Raw genomic sequence first — 21,710 nt, forward strand, 5'->3', positions numbered from 1 at the left:
TCCAAAGTACAAAGATGTATGTGCAAGAATGTTTAAAGCAGCAAGATAATACTGTAAACATCCTAAATGTTCATTATTTGGTGTCTTGTTGAATATGCAAGCAATGTAATACTTTGTAAATGTTAGCTATTCATATAGATTTCACTGTTACTGAAAAAGATGAACAGCATAGGAGAAAAAAGTCAACGTATATGAACACAGTTTAAAGAAAAAGCTACAAATAGCCAATGAGCACTTTAAAAGTGTCATAACTTCACTCATAATGAAGTAAAGGCAATCAGGACAAGATACCAACCTTAAATTATTGGATTGGCAACAACTAAAAAGTCTGATAACCAGTGCTTGAAGAATTTGGGGAAATAAGCACTCCCAAGTGCTTTTGTTGATACGTTATTTGGTGCAACCTTTCTGGATGACAATTTGGGAATTTCTATCAATATGTAAAACACACATCTTCTAACCCAGTCCCCCATGCTTAAGAATTTCCCGGGTCAGGTGCAGTGGCTTACGCCTGTAATCCCAGCACTTCGGGAGGCCAAGGCAGGCAGATCACGAGGTCAGGAGATCGAGACCATCCTGGCTAACAGGATGAAAGCCCGTCTCTACTAAAAATACCAAAAAAAATTAGCCAGGCGTGGTGGCAGGCGCCTGTAATCCCAGCTACTCGGGAGGCTGAGGCAGGAGAATGGTGTGAGCTCGGGAGGCAGAGCTTGCAGTGAGCCAAGATGGTGCCACTGCACTCCAGCCTGGGTGACAGAATGAGACTCCGTCTCAAAAAAAAAAAAAAAAAGAATTTCCCTGCAGATATGGTGGCAAGACTTCTTAGAAGCTCAAAGATGTTGTTGTAACATAATTGGTAATAGTAATAACAAAAATACACAAAAACCCTAGAAACAACCAAAATATCCATGATAGAAAACCAATTAAATAAATTATGGCACAGCCTAACAAATGACTTTTTAATGTAAGCTGTTAAAAAGTGACAGATATGTTTACCCTGCAGTTAGGAAATAATGCCCATGATAAATTACAAAAAGCAAAGTAAATAACTGTACAGTGTGATTTTTAGGGTGTGTCAGAACAGATAAGTATGTGTAGTAAGTAAGTATGTTTTGAAGGATTTACAAGAAACTAATAAAGGTATTTAGTGTTAGGAAGAAGAACTAGGAAAGAGAGGGTGGCTTTCAACTTTCACTTTTCATTTTGTAAGTTTTGGTAGCAAGAATTTACTGAACTCACAAGATGTTTCTTTTAGTTTTACAAACTGTTCAATGAGGGATACCAAGAATGGGAGAACGTGGTATATTTTTTTTGCTTGCTTCTTTGTGGTTTTCTATATAAAGCAAATACGCTATTTTAAAATATGAGCCAATAGACAATATGGATACTATAGATCCATGTTCACTGACACAGAAAACCATAAGGACATATTAATTTAAGAAAACCAACTGTGATGCAATATGCATAGTCTGATCCCATTTATGTAAAAATTTTGCACATGTGAGTATCGGCCATTTAGAGATATCTAGAAAGATGTTATCAAAATATGATGGAGTTACACATTCTGCTTCGTAACCATTCTCAATTGCTTTAACTTTCTCAAATGAGGATTCTTCAAACATAGGGAATGAAACAAAATTTTTACAAAGGCCTTGATATCACAGCAAATTTGAAGATGCGAAGGAAGCAGGGAGAAAGTATAAGAAAATGATTTAAATAAAGTTATGTAAACTGAGAGGCCGCCTGCTGAAGCAATCCAGTGGAAAAGCTAAGAGTGCCCTGAAACTGGAAGATTAGACCTGGAATCCCACAGAAGGGACAGAATGTTCCCTAGAGCAGGGAGAAACTTGAGCTAGCTGGCTTTAGCATAAACAAAAGCGGGTCTGCAGGCACTGACCCTGCCATGTAATGAAAAATAGAAAAAAGAAAAACTATTTTAAAGATGAATAACCACCAAAAAAAAAAATCCCCATTAATAAGGCAGGAAGCTTTGTATTTAGAATGTTTTTACCACAAATGATGGTTTCAAATCTCAATAGCAGGCTGCGTGCGGTGGCTCACTCCTGTAATCCCAGCACTTTGGGAGGCCAAGGCAGGCGGATCACAAGGTCAGGAGTTCAAGACCAGACTGGTCAACACAGTGAAACCCCGTCTCTACTGAAAAAAAAAAAAAAATACAAAAATTAGCCGGGCATGGTGGCGTGCATGCCCAGCTACTCCCAGCTACTCGGGAGGCTGAGGCATGAGAATCGCTTGAACCCAGGAGGCGGAGGTTGTGGTGAGCCAAGATCGTGCCACTGCACTGCAGCCTGGGCGATAGAGTGAGACTTCGTCTCAAAAATAAACAACTCTATACCAGAGCAGATATGTTATTCGATAAAGCTAAAAATGTATTTAATTTTAGTAAGTACACATGAATTCAGGTAAATACACAGAAGCAGCTCTAGAGGAATAAACATAACAGCACTGAAAAGGGGGAATTGCGAATCTGGATGGGGGAAGTGGCAAAAGGGGCCTTTAGCCTTGTCTGTAATGCTTTTAAATTTTATAAAAGAAAACCATGCACATAGTGTGTTCTATTTTGGTAAAATAGACGTAACACAAAATTTACCATTATAACCATTTTAAATATACAATTCGGCGGCATTAGTTCATTCACAAAGTTGTGCAACCATCACCACCATCCATTTCCAGAACTCTTTGTCATCCCAAGCTGAAACTCAATACCCATTAAACAATAACTCCCCATTCTCCCCTTCCCCAACCCCTGAAAACCATTATTCCATTATCTGTCTCTGTGAATTTGCCTATTCTAGGTACTTCATAAACATGGAATTGTATGATATTTGTCCTTTTGTATCTGGCTTATTTCACTTAGCATAATATTCTCAAGGTTCATCCATGTGACATGTTATCAGAATTTAATTCCTTTCCATGGCTGAATATATTATTCTATTATATGTATATACCACTTTTTTTAATCCATTCATCTGCTGAGGAAGACCTGTTTCTACCTTTTGGCTATTACAAATAATGCTGCTGTGAAGATTTGCAGACGAGTACCTGTTTGAGTCCCGTTTTCAGTTTTTCTGGGCAAATATCTAGGAGTAGAATTGTTGAATCATACGGTAATTCTACATCTAACTTTTTGAGAAACTGCCAAACTATTTTTCACAGCTGCTTCTCCATTTTACATCCCTACCAGCAACGCACAGTGGTTCCAGTTTCTCCATACCCTTCCCAAATTTGTTTTCTGTTTTTTAAAAAAATAGCCATCCTAAATGGGTATAAAGTAGGATCTCAATGTGGTTTTGATTTGCATCTTCACACATTTTTTCATGTATGAATTTTTCATTAAAAATTATTTTAAAAGAAAAGAAACAATTTTTTCTTCATTAACCAACTAGTGATACCTCCTTAACTGCTAAGCTCTTTGAGAACAGAGGTAATAGCTGTCCTGCTCACTGCTTTATCCCCGACCCCTAACATAAGCCTAGCATCTAGCAGGTACTCACCAAATACAGTATTCACTGGATGCATAAAATACTACATTAGCCTCTCAATTTACATGAGACTAATGTATGGTTTGGGGGGAGTGAGTCTATGAAAAAGTGTCACCTTAAAAAAAATACACCAATTTCTGAAAAACATACAATCACTTTGGAAGTCTTGGGTAAACGGCACACTTCAAGACAAATCCAGGATGGCCAAGGAAACATAAGTGACATTACTTATAGTTTTAAGGAGGGCAACTTCACAGCCAGTATTCATCCCACCTGGGTTGCCAAGTAAGGGCAGGGTACTTTTAAGCTGTTCTCGTATTATACCACCAGGGGTCCTGAGTTTCCTGTATTTCAGGCAGGATGGCTGATGAGAAAGATACAATCTGAACACTCTTGTGTCTTGCCACAGTAGAGTAGGCCAGAGCTTGGCTAGAATCAGCAGCAGAGGCCAAAAGAAGTAGAGGGATGCAGGAGATGTTTAGGAGGTAAAACAGACAGGACTTGTTGAGGAAAGGGGAGAGATCAAGTGCAATGCTCAGGTTTTTCACTTCAGCAATTGCTGGCTGGTGGAGCCATCACCATAAGACACACAAAGAGAGCAGGCTTTTTTGTGGGTGTGGGGAGCATAAAGGTGAGTTTGGCTTTAGACATATTCAACCTGAGAGGCCTACGAGCTTCAGCAGATGTTTGGATGTATACAACTGGAGTTTTAAGGACAGGACTGGGCTGAGATAAACTCGTGGCAGCCATTGGCATAAAACCAATCACTGAAGCCAGGGAATAGTTGAGATTGTAGAGGGAAGAGGTCCCGTGTGAAAAGGTGGCCAATGTCAGGACTCTAAGGGACATCAAGAGTTTAAGGAGTGAGTAGAGGAGTAGGCGTCAGCTAAGGAGACTAAAAAAAAGTGGTGAGAGAAGTACAGCATCACAGAAACCTACAGAAGACAGTGTTTCAGCAAGCAGGTAGTCAGACACACCAAATGGTTGTGTATTTTGTTTCGTTTTGTTTTATTGAGACAGGGTCTCACCCTATTGCCCCGACTGGAGTGTAGGGGCAGTATCATAGCTCACTGCAGCCTCCAATTCCTGGGCTCAAGGGATCCTCCTGCCTCAGCTGCCTGAGTAGCTAGGACCACAGGCATGCGCTACCACACCTGGCTAATTTGTTTTTATTTTTGTAGAGACAGGGTCTTGCTATATTGCCCAGGCTAGTCTCAAACTCCTGGCCTCAAGCTATTCTCCCAACTCGGCCTCCCAAAGTGCTGGGATTACAGGTGTGAGAGATCACAACCCTAAATGTTTAATAGCTTTAGATGAAGACAACTTAATGAATCCTTTCACAAGGGTGACTTCACCCATTGGACCAGAATGTCTGAAATCTGCTGGGCATAAACTCCCCGTCCACCAGACCAGTGGTTCTCACAGTGTGGTCCCCAGACTAGCAGCATCCACATCACCTGGGCACTTGTTAGAAATGCAAATTTCAGGGCCCCACCCCCAAAATTCTTTTTCTCAATCAGAAAATCTGATGTGTGATTGTTAGTTCATTCTCGAATTGCTATAAAGAAATACCTGAGACTGAGTAATTTATAAAGAAAAGGGGTTTAATTGGCTCACGGTTGTGCAAGCAGTACAGGAAGCATAGTAGCATCTGCTTCTGGGGAGGTCTCAGGAACCTTACTATCAAGACGGAAGGCGAAGGGGGAGTGGACATCACATGGGGAAAGGGGCGAGGTGGGAGGTGCCACACACTTTTAAACAACCAGATCTCAAGAGAACTCGTTATCACAAGGACCGTACCAAAGGGATGGTACTAAACCATTCATAAGAAACCACCCCCATGATCCAATCACCTCCCACCAGTCCCCACCTCTAATATCGGGGATTACAATTCAACATGAGACTTGGGTGGGGACGCAGATCCAAACCATACCAGCAACCCAGCAATCTGTATTTTGTTGAGTTTTTTGTTTTTGTTTTTTTGAGATGGAGCCTTGCTCTGTCCCCCAGGCTGGAGTGCAATGGCACGATCTCGGCTCACTGCAACCTCCGCCTCCCAGATTCAAGCAATTCTCCTGCCTCAGCTTCCCAAGTAGCTGGGATTACAGGCGCCTGCCACCATGCCCAGCTAATTTTTGTATTTTTAGTAGAGACGAGGTGGGCCAGGCTGGTCTCGAACTCCTGACCTCAAGTGATCCACCCGCCTCGGCCTCCCAGAGTGCTGAGATTACAGGCGTGAGCCGCCGCACCCGGCCGCAATCTGTCTTAACAAACACTCTAGGGGATTCTGATGCTCACCAAAGTGTGAAAAACACTGCATTAGACAGTGCTTGGAGAGCACCTGATAACCATTCCTTTAGGAACAAATTCCCCTCCTATTAAACACATTATTCTTTGGATCTGTTAACATATTTTGCAAAACTTCTGGAGCCTGAGCAGCAGGATTTTGTCAATACCCCACATTTAGTGTACCAATAGGTCCTATCTTGATTTTAATGGTCCTGCCCTAAAACCAACCAACCAGCCAACTACCCACCGATTCCTCTACTGGGGACAACCTTTTTCACCTTTATAACTTCTGCTTATTCACAACATCTAATTATTCATGGCCTCTGCTACTTCATGGCTTCTTTTGTGCACCTTTTCAGCTTCTGATCCTGATACCAACTGAACAACTGTCTACGTCAAACTTGTTTAACTCCCTGTTTAACATTAAGAGATTTTTTTTTTCGCAACTCTTTTCCTTTAGGTCATCAGCTATCATTAGTGTATTTTATGTATGGCCCAACACAATTCTTCTTCCTGGGGAAGCCAAAAGATTGGACACCCCTGCTCTAAATCTCAGTTTAAACTCCTGAGAGACACATATTGTTGGTGAAATCGCAAACTGGTACAATTTAGGAGGGTAATTTGGCATCATTTATCAAAACTACAAAAACATGGCCTTTGCCCCAATAAGTCCGCTTTTAGGCATTTATCCTACAGATACACATGGGCGTGTGCACCAAAAAGTGGGGTCTCTCTCTCTCCCTTAGCTCGGCCAGAAGCCAGGTCACCTACCCTCGGTCACTCGGGGGCCAGGACCTCTCTCCCTGCCCCTCAGTCAAGGCCCTCTCAGTCCGGGAGGCGCTTCACACCTGGGCAGGGTGGGACTGGGCGCGCCTCACTTCACGCTTTCGTCGGTTGGAAGCAGGTGGGGAAGTCCCCGCGGCCTCGGCGTCTCGCACGCCTGGCCCCAACACCTGCCGAAGCCGGCTGCGACTCCATTTTTCTTTTTTTTTTTCCTCCTGGGAAACGGAGGACCCGCGCCGCCACGAAGCACAGCGACCCCGGCCCTGACCCCAGCCGCCCGCCGCCGGTGGGCGGGGCTTGGCGGCCCGGCGGGGCGGGGCTCGGGGCGGGGCCGGCGTGGCGGTGGCCCGGGTTGTAGCCGCCGCCGCTGCCGCCGCCCCGCCGCCGCCACCTCAGAAGCAGGAACCGAAGTCGTCGCCGCCGCCGCCACTGCCTGGGTCTTCGGTCGGGGCCCGCAGCCATGGAGGATTTCATCGTGATCTCGGACGACAGCGGCTCTGAGAGCTCCGGGGGCGCCCGCCCGGGCCGGTCGCGGAGGCCGCGCCGGGCCCTGTCGCGAACCTCCGGCGCGCTGCCCCGCCGGACCGTGGTGAGTGAGCGTCGCCTCGTTTGGGGGCGCGCGTCTTCGCGACCCTCGGCTGGGCCCGCCGCCCGCTTCCCGCCCCTGGCGCCTCACAGCTGCAGCCACTTCCCGCCTTGCCTCCTTCCGGGCCTCTCGGGCCCCGGGGAGCGCGGCGGGCCGGGGCAGGGGCCAGGGCAGGGACCGGGGAGGCCGGGCCTCCCAGGCTCAGCGCTGAAGCCCGAGAGGACTGCGGCTGGAAAGCGGCCGAGCACATGGACGAGCTCCTGGCGCGCCTGCTGCAGGGGCTGGGGTCTCAGGCCGGGGCCGCGGGCGTCCTCGGAGCCTCGGCGGGACGTGGGGGCTCGGGTGTACTGGCCGGGCCGATGCAGGAAAGCGGGAGCGCGTAATTCTTCGGCCTGTGGTGGACACAGATGTGTGCAGGGAGGTAACAGGAGCCCAGGCTGGGAGGGAGGGAAGCGCGGGCCTGGGCCAGATGGTGGCCGCGCTCCAGGGCCTGACTGCAGAGCGAGGGGCCCGATTTTGGAGTTGTACAGGAGGGCGATTTATTTCCTCAGCACTTACCCTGTACCAAGCCCTGAAGGAATAGGGAAGGAAACCTCGCGCGCTATTTCTGTTTCCCTCAGAACCCCTTCGTCTTTGTCGTTCATGAGGTGGTGAATTATCTGCCTTTCGAGAATCCTGCATCGATGTTTATTGAATCCCTACTATGAGCCAGATGTTGTAGGGGCCGGGGATACAACGGCGAACACAATATCCATGGTCCCCTCAGAAGGTGATACATCATCAGGTGGTTGTTGAGGACCTACTCAAGCGGTGGGAGGTGGAGCTTTCTCTCAGAAGGCTTCCAACGATCTCCCCAGCCTCCCAGAGCCATCCCCCGGAAACACAAGGATTATCAAGCTGATGTTATGTGTATAGATCATACAGTTTACCATGCTTCCTATGCAAATACTCGTTCAAGACGTTTCCTAGCTTCTGCTGCCCCTGTTCCCTTTCTAGCTGGTTTACAGTCCCTAAACCTCCATTGGGAACCCCTTCTGTGCCCGAGGTACAGTGCCAAGTGCTAGATGATCACTATAGAATGAATAGCATGCAAAACTAGTTAATATATATTATTTTTCAAGCAAGAGGGTTTCTCAGGACGTCTTAGAGACAAATTTAGTTGAGTTAGGCAGCTCATGAGGTAGTGAGAGAAGAGATTTCCAAGATAGAAATGACCCGACTTCATGAGTGAATGGATATATCTAGGGCTGTGGCTGAATGTATCGGACATAATAGATGCACAATAAGTATTTGTTGGATGAAGGAACGATTGAAAGAATATGGGGAGAGAGAATGGTTTAGATGGATGTTTGATAAGTATAAGAGAAGTGCATATAAAAGTAGCAGCAGGCTTGAGATGAAGGAGATGCTGAATTCAGGTTGGACCTGTTGGATTTACAGTGTTAATAGGAAATGTAGATGGATGTGGCCAGCTCAGTAGTTGGAGAAAAGGCAAGAATGGAGATATTTGGCAATCATGCAAACAGAAAGGAGTATTGAAGGCCTAATAGTGACTGAGATCATCAAGGAAAAGAGTAGAGAGAGAAAAAAGGTGGAAGGGAAAAAATACTTCTTTCCTCCTAGTTCCTCCTCATTCCTATAGCCTCTTCTCTCACTACCTGTTTAACTTTGTCCTTCCCACTTGCTTCCTTTCCTCCCAAGTGTTGTCCATTTTCCCTCATTCTGGTCCAGCTTCCTTCTTCAGTGGTCAGATGCCATGCTTATCTCAGTCTTTTGTGGTCTTTCACATACGTACATGGGCGTAGTCTCTCACTGTTTCCCTCACTTGTGACCACTCAAGCAAGCATTTTGATCTTGAGCCTTTGAGTTGAATCGAAATGAGGGGCAAGTTCCAGAGAGCAGTACCCAATTTAAATCGTGCTTCTCCAGATATTTATTCCAGCTCTCTAAAAGCTCCAAGCTTATTCTCGTTTTATCTTTTTTGCAAATTAGATAAGAGTGGTATGATAACCATGTAAAAGATCAGAGGCATTGAGAGACTTGCAAGGTTATAAAGTCTAAAAGTGCCCTTTTCTTTGTAGCTTTTCCTGAAGGCTCTGAGGTCAGAGAGACTTCTGAATCAATATCTCCAGCATAGCAACTATTTGAGTTTTGGAAAGTTCTGTCAACTCTCAGCTTTTGAGCCTGAGAACATTAATGCCTACCTAGCAGGATGGTTTTAAATTTTTAATGAGACAAATGCAAGGAAAGGATCTCATATAAATGATAGCTTTTGCCACTTTTTGTGTTGTTTCTAAGCCCAGGCCTGTCCCTCTTGAGCTTCACAGGCAATGAAATAAAAGAAGCAACTTTTACATCTTTTTTTTTTTTTTTTAATAGATATTGACTAAGGGGAAGTAACTTGCTTGAACTTGAGAAAGCCATGTCTAATGCTGAAGTTGACATTTCTGAACTCTTGATTCTTAACCTGGGCTTTAGTCTTCACTGAGTCGATGAGGTGTGTTTCTGTGTTTATCATGGCTTTTTCGTTTGGGATTTTTTGTTTTTCGTTTTTTTACTTATAAAAACAGAACATTTTCAGATGGTTAATTTTGTTGATCTAATTATACAATTTTTATAAATGTATAAAGAAGAAAATTAAAATTGCCCGTAATCTCACTATCCAAAGATAACCAATGTTAACATTTTGATGTATGTCTATGTAAATGTTTACTTGCATACACACATGTGCATACATACATACCTATGTGTCCTCCCCATACATGTTTTTATGACCTCCTCTTAATGGATATTATGCCTTCGTTTCTAAATTTTCTCTAAGAACCCAGTGAAAAATTCCCTCATAATCTTTGTACTCTTGTTCATTTGTTTATTAAGTTCCTCTTAGAAGTTAGATTGCTGAGTCAAAAGGTGTGCCCTACTTTATATGTAGCTAACCCTTGAAGAACACGGGGATTAGGGTTGCTAACCCCCCCGTGCAGTTGAAAATTTACATGTAACATTTGACTCCTCGAAAACTTAACTACCAGTGGCCTACTGTTGACTGGAAGCCTTACCAGTAACATAAGCAGTTAACTCATGTTTTGTATGTTATATGGACTCTTACGATAAAGTAAGCAAGAGAAAAATGTTAAGATCATAAGGAAGATAAAATACATTTACAGTACTATACTGCATTTGTCAATACCATAGGTTTACATCGTCTGTTTACAAGATAAATCATCTGTCTGAAATAGGGGACAACCACAGCTGCAGACCTCTATCTACGGTACATCTCAAGCGATTCAGCTTTTCTTATGTCATGACTTTTCTCTGTTTCTTGAGAGCACATCCAGCATCACTAAGCACTTTGTATGGGTTTCATGGTGTTATTCAAGGTTTACGATATTACCCTACACATGATTAAACAAGTATATGTGGAAAAAAACCCAGGAGAGAACACTTGTTACCGTGATACACAGTTTACTGGGAAGTAGTGCAGAAATTGATTAGTGTCACGTGGCGTTTTAAGTGGATCCTCACAACACTTGAGCCCACCACAGCAGCAGCAGATGTCTGTGGTAGTAGGACATTATTATCACGGTAGTACAGTGTAGTCTATGGTAAATTTTATGCAGTTGTGATACAAATTAAAAAGAAAAAAATAATGAATTTAAAAATATGCAGTTGTGAGTTAATATTGCATCTTTACATTTCTGTCAACTGCAGATGTCACCATCTATGGTCAGTAAGTGATTGTGTGCATAAATTTTGATAAAGTTTAACTTTGTATAATAGATTTGTGTTGATTTTATGGTAGTAAATGGATAAAATAGGCTAGTATCTACATATATTTTATGCATTCAGGACATATCTTTTTCTTAGTTTTTTTCAATTTTTATAGGCTGTGGAGTTCATCTGTGAGTTTTCCAAATTGTTATAAATCGCCAAAAAATTTTCCAATATATTTATTGAAAAAAACTCTCTTGTAAGTGGACCCATGCAGTTCAAACCTGTGTTGTTCATGAATCAACTGTATTGCCAAATTTCCTACAGAAATTGTGCATTAATATTCTTACCAGTGGTATATGGCCAATCATATCTCTTTCTCTGCTGCCTAGTCACCCCTAGGTATTGTTACATTATTCCATAAATATTTATTGAACACTTATTATATACCAGGCACTCTTAGAGGTGCTGGGAATACATCTATGAAAACCAAGTCCCTGCCGTCATGGAGATTTCATTTTACTGAGGGGACACAGATAGTAAACAACACTATAAATGTAATGTCAGGTGATAATACAGAGTGTTAGGGGAAAAAATACGGTATTTTTGTTCTTTTAATCTTTGCTGTTTGATAGCCAGATTCCATAAGATGTCATTATTTTTTATTTTTTTATTATGATTCATTTATTCAATAAATATTTATTGAGCATATGCTGTAACCCTGGGGACCAGAGGTGAACAAGATGATAATGGAACTACATTCTACTGTGGAAAGATAGGCAGTAAACAAACTAACAAATAAGAGAACAGTATAATAGTAACTTTGGTGGGATTGGGAACATTTGATTGTGTTTTCAGAGAAGGCCTCTCTGAAGAGTTAATATTTGACCTGAGACTAAAATGACAACAAATTAGTTATAAGATCTAGATGAATAAGGCATTGTCAAAGGGAACAACAAAACCAAAAGTTTGGAGGCGGGAATGAGCATGACTTACTGGAAGAATGGAAAGCCAGTGAGGCTGCAATGTAACGACTGATGGACAGAGTCAGAAGAGATGAGAAGTAGGTAGGTTAGGTTATAGGGCTTTGGAGACCACAATAAGGGATTTGGATTTTATTGTAATACAGTAAGAAATCTTTGAAGGTTTAAGCAGGACAGTGACATGATTTGATTTACTTTTTTTTTTTTTGGAGATGGAGTCTTGCTCTGTTGCGTTGCCCAGGCTGTAGTGCAGTGGTGCGATCTCGGCTCACTGCAACCCCCACTTCCCAGGTTCAAGCAATTTCCCCCACCTCAGCCTCCCGAGTAGCCGGGACTACAAGCACACCACCACGCTTGACTAATTTTTTGTATTTTAGTAGAGACGGGGTTTCACCATGTTGGCCAGGATGGTCTAGATCTCCTGACCTCATGATCCACCCGCCTCGGCCTCCCAAAGTGCTGGGATTACAGGCGTGAGCCACTGCACCTAGCCTTGATTTACATTTTTTAGAGATGACTTTAGCTACTGTGAAAAGAAAAGATGGTAAGGTAGGGAGACCATATAATTTATCATCCAATTGGGAAACTTTTGCAAATGAAAAGGGATGCTAACTGGACCAGGATGTCAAGCAACAGGTGAAAACTGGAACTGTCCCAAACAAAGCAGAAGTGTAGTCACCCTACTGTAAGAGGGGAAGAGTGAAATTAGGGAGATCAGTTAGAAGGTTGGCTGTAGTAGTCCAGGTCAGAAATAACTGTAGCTTGGACTGGAGTGGTGGTACAGACTGGGAGAGTGGAGGGATGTAGATATTTAGTAAATAAAATCAACAGGTCCTGATAACTTGGATGTGGATAACAAGGGAAAGGAAGGAATGAAGAAGGATGCCCTGAGTTCTGGCTTGAGCAACTGAATGCATGTTGGTGTCATGCATTGAAATGAAGCAGACTTGGGAGGAACAGGGTTAGAGGAAAGATTCAAGAGTTCTGTTTTGAAGGTATAAAACTTAACGATGCCTGTGGAATAGCCAACTGGAGATGCCAAGTATAACATTTGTACTGAGTTTAGAGCTCTGAAGAAAAGTCCTGACTAGAGATACAAATTTAGTCTTGTTAGCGCATAGGTTATAGTGAAGTCATTGACCTGGATAAAATCATCTAGGTTGAGGTGACAAGAGGAAGAACATCCAGAACCTAGCCCAAGGGAACACCATAGTGTCCCAAGGGAGGAAGAGCAGCTAGTGAGGTTGGAGATAAAGGAGTGTGCTCACATGCAGTACAGCCAGACATCTTGCTTATGTTTATTGGAAACACATAGGGTATGTGTGCAAATTCCCTATGCTTGTCCTTTGCCCATTTTTCTGTTGCAGTGTTATAATGTTTCTTTTTTTTTTTCCTTTTTTTTTTTTTTTTTTTGAGAGGGAGTTTCACTCTTGTTGCCCAGGCTGGAGTGCAATGGCGCAATCTCAGCTCACTGCAACCTCCACCTACCTGGCTCAAGTGATTCTCCTGCCTCAGACTCCCAAGCAGCTGGGATTACAGGCATGTGCCACCATGCCCAGCTAATTTTATATTTTTAGTAGAGACAGGGTTTTACCATGTTGGTCAGGCTGGTCTCAAACTCCTGACCTCAAGTGATCCACCCACCTCGGCCTCCCAAAGTGCTAGGATTACAGGCATGAGCCACCGCACCCGGCCAACATTTCTTACTCATTTGTTAAATCTACTTATATATTAAAGATTGTTATAGGTGGAACTGTATCTCCTAAAAAGATGTGCTGAAGTTCTAACCCCCCACTACCTCAGATTGTGACCTTATTTAGAAATAGGGTCATTGGCAGATATAATCAGTGAAGATGAGGTTGTGCCGAGTAGAGTGAACCCTTAATCCAACATGACTACTGTCCTTATGAGAAGAACATGTGAAGACACAGGGGAAGAACGCCATGTGACAGTGGAAGCAGAAACCGAAGTTATGCAGCTGCAAGCCAAGGAACACCGAGGACTGCTGGCGACATCAGGAGCTAAGAAAAAGGCATGAAACAGATTCTTCCCTGGAGCCTTCAAGAGAACGTGGCTCTGTAGACACCTTGATTTCAAACCTTTAGCCTCCAGGACTGTGAGGGGATAAATTTCTGTTGTTTAAATCCACCTAGTTTCTGGTAATTTTTACTAGGAAACTAATATAGCCTCTTGTCATACATGTTACAATTTTCTTTCAACTTTCGATTTTGTTTTTTTAATTACAGAAGTTTTACATTTTTATATAGTCAATTCTACCACTCCTTTTCTTTATGATTTCTTAGTTGTCATGCTTATGTCAACCTAAATAACAGACAGCGACTCTCTAAAAAGAAAGTGATATTTATTCAGGAATGGCATTGCAACCGGAGTGTGTGAGCCATAATAAACTATGTGTGTATTCAGGGAGGTAAAGGAAGGCAAAAGCTTTTAAAGGAAAAATGAGGAGGATTACATAATTGTTTTGAGATAATTATCGTTATCTGCAAGGATTAATAACAAGGGTGGCTCCAGTCCAAGGTCGAGCAGGCAGTTGCTGGGCAGATGTCCTCATGGAAGTATTTTTTTCTGTAAGGTTGTGGTTTTTGCAGAGCCTTTTGTGGTACTTATCAGGCATTTGTGCATAATAATCCTCCCTTCATGGCCTTCCCTAGCTCTATTTGTCAAGGTTTTTTTTTTTTTTTTGAGACGAGTCTCGCTCTGTCACCCAGGCTGGAGTGCAGTGGCACGATCTCGGGTCACTGCAACCTCCACCTCCCGGATTCAAGCAATTCTCCTGCCTCAGCCTCCTGAGTAGCTGGGATTACAGGCATGTGCCACTACACCTGGCTAATTTTTTTGTATTTTTCGTAGAGACGGGGTTTCACCATATTGGCCAGGCTGGTCTCAAACTGCTGACCTTGTGATCCACCCACCTCGACCTCCCAAAGTGTTGGGATTACAGGCATGAGCCACCACGCCTGGCCAAGTGACTCCATTTTGATACTGACAACTCACATTTCCCTCATTTGATCAAGATGTTTTCCCAAAAACATTGCCAATCAGCTTGTATAATAGTTCAGGGGTGTGTGTGTGTGTGTGTGTGTGTGTGTGTGTGTGTGTGTGTTGTTTGTTTGTTTGTCTTGAGATGGAGTCTCACTCTGCCACCCAGGCAAAGTGATCTTGGCTCACTGCAACCTCCACTTCCCGGGTTCAAGTGATTCTCCCACTCAGCCTCCCGAGTAGCTGGGATTACAGGCAAGCGCCACCATGCCTAGCTAATTTTTTATTTATTATTATTATTATTCTTTAAGTTCTGGGATACATGTGCAGAACGTGCAGGTTTGTTACATAGGTATACACATGCCATGGTGGCTGCTGCACTTATCAACCCATCATCTACCTTAGGTATTTCTCCTAATGCAATCCCTCCCCTAGCCCCCCACCCCCCAACAGGCCCGGGTGTGTGATGTTCCCATCCCTGTGTCCATGTGTTCTCATTGTTCAACTTCCACTTATAAGTGAGAACATGCAGTGTTTGGTTTTCTGTTCCTGTGTTAGTTTGCTGAGAATGATGGTTTCCAGCTTCATCCATGTCCCTCCAAAGGACATGAACTTATCCTTTTTTATGGCTGCATAGTATTCCATGGTGTATATGTGCCACATTTTCTTTATGCGTCTATCATTGATGGGCATTTGGGTTGGTTCCAAGTCTTTGCTATTGTGAATAGTGCTGCAATAAACATACATGTGCATGTGTCTTTATAGTAGAATGATTTATAATCCTTTGGGTATATACCCAGTAATGGGATTGCTGGGTCAAATGGTATTTCTGGTTCTAGATCCTTGAGGAATCACCACACTGTCTTCCACAATGGTTGAACTAATTTACACTCCCTCCAACAGATTAAAGTGTTCCTATTTCTCCACATCCTCTCCAGCATCTGTTGGTTCCTGACTTTTTAATGATTGCCATTCTAACTGGTGTGAGATAGTGTATCATTGTGCTTTTGATTTGCATTTCTCTAATGACCAGTGATGATGAGCTTTTTTTCATATGTTTGTGGGCCGCGTAAATGTCTTCTTTTAAGAAGTGTCTGTTTATATCCTTCGCCCACTTTTTGATGGGGTTGTTTGTTTTTTTCTTGTAAATTTGTGTAAGTTCCTTGTAGATTCTGGATATTAGCCCTTTGTCAGATGGATAGATTACAAAGATTTTCTCCCATTCTGTAGGTTACCTGTTCACTCTGATGATAGTTTCTTTTGCTGTGCAGAAGCTCTTTGGTTTAATCAGATCCATTTGTCAATTTTGGCTTTTGTTGCCATTGCTTTTGGTGTTTTAGTCATGAAGTCTTTGCCCATGCCTATGTCCTGAATGGTATTGCCTAGGTTTTCTTCTAGGGTTTTTATGGTTTTAGGTTTACATTTAAGTCTTTAATCCATCTTCAGTTAATTTTTGTATAAGGTGTAAGGAAGGGGCCCGGTTTCAGTTTTCTGCATATGGCTAGCCAGTTTTCCCAACACCATTTATTAAGTAGGGAATTCTTTCCCCATTGCTTGTTTTTGTCAGGTTTGTCAAAGATCAGATGGTTGTAGATGTGTGGCATTATTTCTGAGGCCTTTGTTCTGTTCCGTTGGTCTATATATCTGTTTTGGTACCAGTACCATCCTGTTTTGGTTACTGTAGCCTTGTAGTATAGTTTGAACTCAGGTAGTGTGATGCCTCCAGCTTTGTTCTTTTTGCTTAGGATTGTCTTGGCTATATGGGCTCTTTTTTGGTTCCTTATGAACTTTAAAGTAGTTTTTTCTAATTCTGTGAAGAAAGTCAGTGGCAGCTTGATGGGGATAGCATTGAATCTATAAATTTCTTTGGGCAGTATGGCCATTTTCATGATATTGATTCTTCCTATCCATGAGCATGGAATGTTTTTCCATTTGTTTGTGTCCTCTTTTATTTCGTTGAGCAGTGGTTTGTAGTTCTCCTTGAAGAGGTCCTTCACATCCCTTGTAAGTTGTATTCCTAGGTATTCTATTCTCTTTGTAGCAATTATGAATGGGAGCTTGCTCATGATTTGGCTTTCTGTTTGTCTATTATTGGTGTATAGGAATGCTTGTGACTTTTGCACATTGATTTTGTATCCTGAGACTTTGCTGAAGTTGCTTATCAGCTTAAGGAGATTTTAGGCTGAGACGATAGTGTTTCTAAATATACAATCATGTCATCTGCAAACAGAGATAGTTTGACTTCCTCTCTTCCTATTTGAATACCCTTTATTTCTTTCTCTTGCCTGATTTCCCTGGCCAGAACTTCCAATACTATGTTGAATGGAGTGGTGAGAGAGGGCATCCTTGTCTTGTGCTGGTTTTCAAAGGGAATGCTTCCAGCTTTTACCCATTCAGTATGATATTGGCTGTGGGTTTGTCATAAATAGCTCTTATTATTTTGAGATACGTTTCATCAACACCTAGTTTATGGAGAGTTTTTAGCATGAAGTGGTGTTGAATTCTATCAAAGGCCTTTTCTGCATCTATTGAGATAATCATGTGGTTTCTGTCATTGGTTCTGTCGATGGATTACGTTTATTGATTTGCATATGTTGATCCAGCCTTGCATCCCAGGGATGAAGCCAATTTGATCGTGGTGGATAAGCTTTTTGATGTGCTGCTGGATTTGGTGTGCCAGTATTTTATTGAGGATTTTTGCATCGATGTTCATCAGAGATAATGGCCTGAAATTTTTTTGTTGTTGTTGTGTCTTTGCCAGGTTTTGGTATCAGGATGATGCTGGCCTCATAAAACGAGTTAGGGAGGAGTCCCTCATTTTCTATTGTTTGGAATCATTTCAGAAGGAATGGTACCAGCTCCTCTTTGTGCCTCTAGTAGAATTTGGCTGTGAATCCGTCTGGTCCTGGGCTTTTTTTGGTTGGTAGGCTATTAATTACTGCCTCAATTTCAGAACTTGTTATTGGTCTATTCAGAGATTCAACTTCTTCCTGGTTTAGTCTTGGGAGGGTGTATGTGTCCAGGACATTGTCCATTTCTTCTAGATTTTCTAGTTTATTTGCATAGAGGTGTGTATAGTCTTCTCTGATGGTACTTTGTATTTCTGTGGGATCAGTGGCGATATCCCCTTTATTATTTTTTATTGTATCTATTTGATTCTTCTCTCTTTTCTTCTTTATTAGTCTGGCTAGTGGTCTATCTATGTTGTTAATCTTTTCAAAAAAACAGCTCCTGGCCAGACATGGTGGCTCACGCCTGTAATCCCAGTACTTTGGAAGGCTGAGGTGGGCATATCACAAGGTCAGGAGATCGAGACCATCCTGGCTAACATGGTGAAACCCCGTCTCTACTAAAAATACAAAAACAAAATTAGCTGGGCATGGTGGCAGGCATCTGTAGTCCCAGCTACTCAGGAGGCTGAGGCGGGAGAATGGTGTGAACCCGGGAGGTGGAGCTTGCAGTGAGCCGAGATCATGCCACTGCACTCCAGCCTGAGCAACAGAGCGAGATTCCGTCTCAAAAAAAAAAAAAAAAAAAAACCAGCTCCTGAATTCATTGATTTTTTGAAGGGTTTTTCATGTCTCTTATCTCCTTCAGTTCTACCCTGATCTTAGTTATTTCTTGCCTTCTGCTAGCTTTTGAATTTGTTAGCTCTTGCTTCTCTAGTTCTTTTAATTGTGATGTTAGGGTATCAATTTTAGATCTTTCCGGCTTTTTCCTGTGGGCATTTAGTGCTAGAAATTTCCCTCTAAACACTGCTTTAGCTGTGTCCCAGAGATTCTGGTACATTGTGTCTTTGTTCTCCTTGGTTTCAAAGAATTATTTATTTCTGCCTTAATGTCGTTATTTACCCAGGTTTCAAAGAATTATTTATTTCTGCCTTAATGTCGTTATTTACCCAGTAGTTATTCAGGAGCAGGTTGTTCAGTTTCCATGTAGTTGTGCAATTCTGAGTGAGTTTCTTAATCCTGAGTTCTAATTTGATTGCACTGTGGTCTGAGAGACTGTTATGATTTCCGTTCTCTTGCATTTACTGAGGAGTGTTTTACTTCCAATTATGTGGCCAATTTTAGAATAAGTGAGATGTGGTGCTGAGAAGAATGTATATTCTGTTGATTTGGGGTGGAGAGCTCTGTAGATGTCTATTAGGTCCACTTGTTCCAGACCTGAGTTCAAGTCCTGAATATCCTTGTTAATTTTCTGTCTTGTTGATCTGTCTAATATTGACAGTGGGGTGTTAAAATCTCCCACTATTATTGTGTGGGAGTCTAAGTCTCTTTGTAGGTCTGTAAGAACTTGCTTTATGAATCGGGATGCTCCTGTATTGGGTGCATATATATTTAGGATAGTTAGCGCTTCTTGTTGCATTAATCCCTTTACCATTATGTAATGGCCTTCTTTGTCTATTTTGATCTTTGTTGGTTTAAAGTCTGTTTTATCAGAGACTAGCATTGCAACCCTTTTTGTTTTTTGCTTTCCATTTGCTTGGTAATTTATTCCTCCATCCCTTTATTTTGAGCCTATGTGTGTCTTTGCATTAGATGGGTCTCCTGAATACAGCACACCAATGGGTCTTGACTCTTTATCCAATTTGCCAGTCTGAGTCTTTTAATTGGGGCATTTAGCCCGTTTACATTTAAGATTAATATTATGTGTGAATTTGATCTTGTCATTATGATGCTAGCTGGTTGTTTTGCCCATTAGTTGATGCAGTTTCTTCATAGTGTTGATGGTTTTTACAATTTGGTATGTTTGGCCAGGCACGGTGGCTCACCCCTACAATCTCAGCACTTTGGGAGGCCGAGGTGGGCAGATCACAAGGTCAGGAGATCGAGACCATCCTGGGCAACATGGTGAAACCCTGTCTCTACTAAAAATACACAAATTAGCTAGGTGTGATGGCACACTCCTGTAGTCCCAGCTACTCGGGAGGCTGAGGCAGGAGAATGGCTTGAACGTGGGAGGCAGAGATTACAGCAAGCCAAGGTCGTGCCACTGCACTCCAGCCTGGCGACAGAGCAAGCGAGACTCCACCTCAAAAACAAAACAAAACAAAAACAATTTGGTATGTTTTTGCAGTGGCTGGTACCGGTTTTTCCTTTCCATATTTAGTGCTTCCTTCAGGAGCTCTTGTAAGGCAGGCCTGGTGATGACAAAATCTCTCAGCATTTGCCTGTCTGTAAAGGATTTTATTTCTCCTTCACTTATGAAGCATAGTCTGGCTGGATATGAAATTCTGGGTTGAAAATTATTTTCTTTTCTTTTTTTTTTTTTTATTGATCATTCTGGGGTGTTTCTCGCAGAGGGGGATTTGGCAGGGTCATAGGACAATAGTGGAGGGAAGGTCAGCAGATAAACAAGTGAACAAAGGTCTCTGGTTCTCCTAGGCAGAGGACCCTGTGGCCTTCCGCAGTGTTTGTGTCCCTGGGTACTTGAGATTAGGGAGTGGTGATGACTCTTAACGAGCATGCTGCCTTCAAGCATCTGTTTAACAAAGCACATCTTGCACCGCCCTTAATCCATTTAACCCTGAGTGGACACAGCACATGTTTCAGAGAGCACAGGGTTGGGGGTAAGGTCACAGATCAACAGGATCCCAAGGCAGAAGAATTTTTCTTAGTACAGAACAAAATGAAAAGTTTCCCATGTCTACTTCTTTCTACACAGACACGGCAACCATCCGATTTCTCAATCTTTTCCCCACCTTTCCCCGCTTTCTATTCCACAAAACCACCATTGTCATCATGGCCCGTTCTCAATGAGCTGTTGGGTACACCTCCCAGATGGGGTGGTGGCCGGGCAGAGGGGCTCCTCACTTCCCAGTAGGGACGGCCGGGCAGAGGCGCCCCTCACCTCCCGGACGGGGCGGCTGGCCGGGCGGGGGGCTGACCGCCCCCCCCACCTCCCTCCCGGACGGGGCGGCTGGCTAGGCGGGGGCTGACCCCCTCACCTCCGTCCCGGACGTGGTGGCTGCCGGGCGGAGACGCTCCGGGCAGAGACGCTCCTCACTTCCCAGACGGGGTGGCTGCCGGGCGGAGGGGCTCCTCACTTCTCAGACGGGGCGGTTGCCAGGCAGAGGGTCTCCTCACTTCTCAGACAGGGCGGCCGGGCAGAGACGCTCCTCACCTCCCAGATGGGGTCGCGGCTGGGCAGAGGCGCTCCTCACATCCCAGACGGGGTGGCGGGGCAGAGGCGCTTCCCACATCTCAGACGATGGGCGGCCGGGCAGAGACGCTCCTCACTTCCTAGATGGGATGGCAGCCGGGAAGAGGCGCTCCTCACTTCCTAGATGGGATGGCGGCCGGGCAGAGACGCTCCTCACTTTCCAGACTGGGCAGCCAGGCAGAGGGGCTCCTCACCTCCCAGACGATGGGCGGCCAGGCAGAGACGCTCCTCACTTCCCAGATGGGGTGGCGGCCGGGCAGAGGCTGCAATCTCGGCACTTTGGGGGGCCAAGGCAGGCGGCTGGGAGGTGTAGGTTGTAGCGAGCTGAGATCATGCCACTGCACTCCAGCCTGGGCACCATTGAGCACTGAGTGAACGAGACTCCGTCTGCAATCCCAGCACCTCGGGAGGCTGAGGCTGGCAGATCACTCGCGGTTAGGAGCTGGAGACCAGCCTGGCCCACGCTGCGAAACCCTGTCTCCACCAAAAAAATACGAAAACCAGTCAGGCGTGGCGCGCGCGCCTGCAATCGCAGGCACTCAGCAGGCTGAGGCAGGAGAATCAGGCAGGGAGGTTGCAGTGAGCCGAGATGGCAGCAGTACAGTCCAGCTTCGGCTCGGCATCAGAGGGAGACTGTGGAAAGGGGAGACAGAGAGGGAGAGGGAGAGGTGAAAATTATTTTCTTAAGAATGT

General features: G+C 43.8%; 1 protein-coding gene across 4 annotated transcripts in view, besides 2 other annotated features; it reads left to right on the forward strand.

Moving 5' to 3' along the window:
- Positions 6,623-6,742: a silencer, noted in NCBI's record as "silent region_16647". NCBI's record gives its function as "represses an Ori minimal core promoter by ATAC-STARR-seq in GM12878 lymphoblastoid cells {active_cell/tissue: GM12878}" and the evidence as "EXISTENCE:reporter gene assay evidence [ECO:0000049][PMID:35858748]".
- Positions 6,793-6,912: a silencer, noted in NCBI's record as "silent region_16648". NCBI's record gives its function as "represses an Ori minimal core promoter by ATAC-STARR-seq in GM12878 lymphoblastoid cells {active_cell/tissue: GM12878}" and the evidence as "EXISTENCE:reporter gene assay evidence [ECO:0000049][PMID:35858748]".
- Positions 6,951-21,710, forward strand: part of SIMC1 (SUMO interacting motifs containing 1) — a 107,566-nt gene continuing 92,806 nt past the window's right edge. For all 4 annotated transcript variants that reach the window (NR_131772.2, NM_001308196.2, NM_001308195.2 and 1 more), the window contains exon 1: positions 6,951-7,164. Coding sequence is in view for 2 of the 4 variants with exons in the window: in NM_001308195.2 (NP_001295124.1) it covers positions 7,036-7,164 (129 nt within the window). In the remaining 2 variants the exon portion in view is untranslated. The remainder of the gene's footprint in view (positions 7,165-21,710) is intronic.

This window comes from Homo sapiens, chromosome 5 (genome assembly GCF_000001405.40).
Source record: "Homo sapiens chromosome 5, GRCh38.p14 Primary Assembly".
In the NCBI taxonomy this organism is placed as follows: domain Eukaryota; kingdom Metazoa; phylum Chordata; class Mammalia; order Primates; family Hominidae; genus Homo; species Homo sapiens.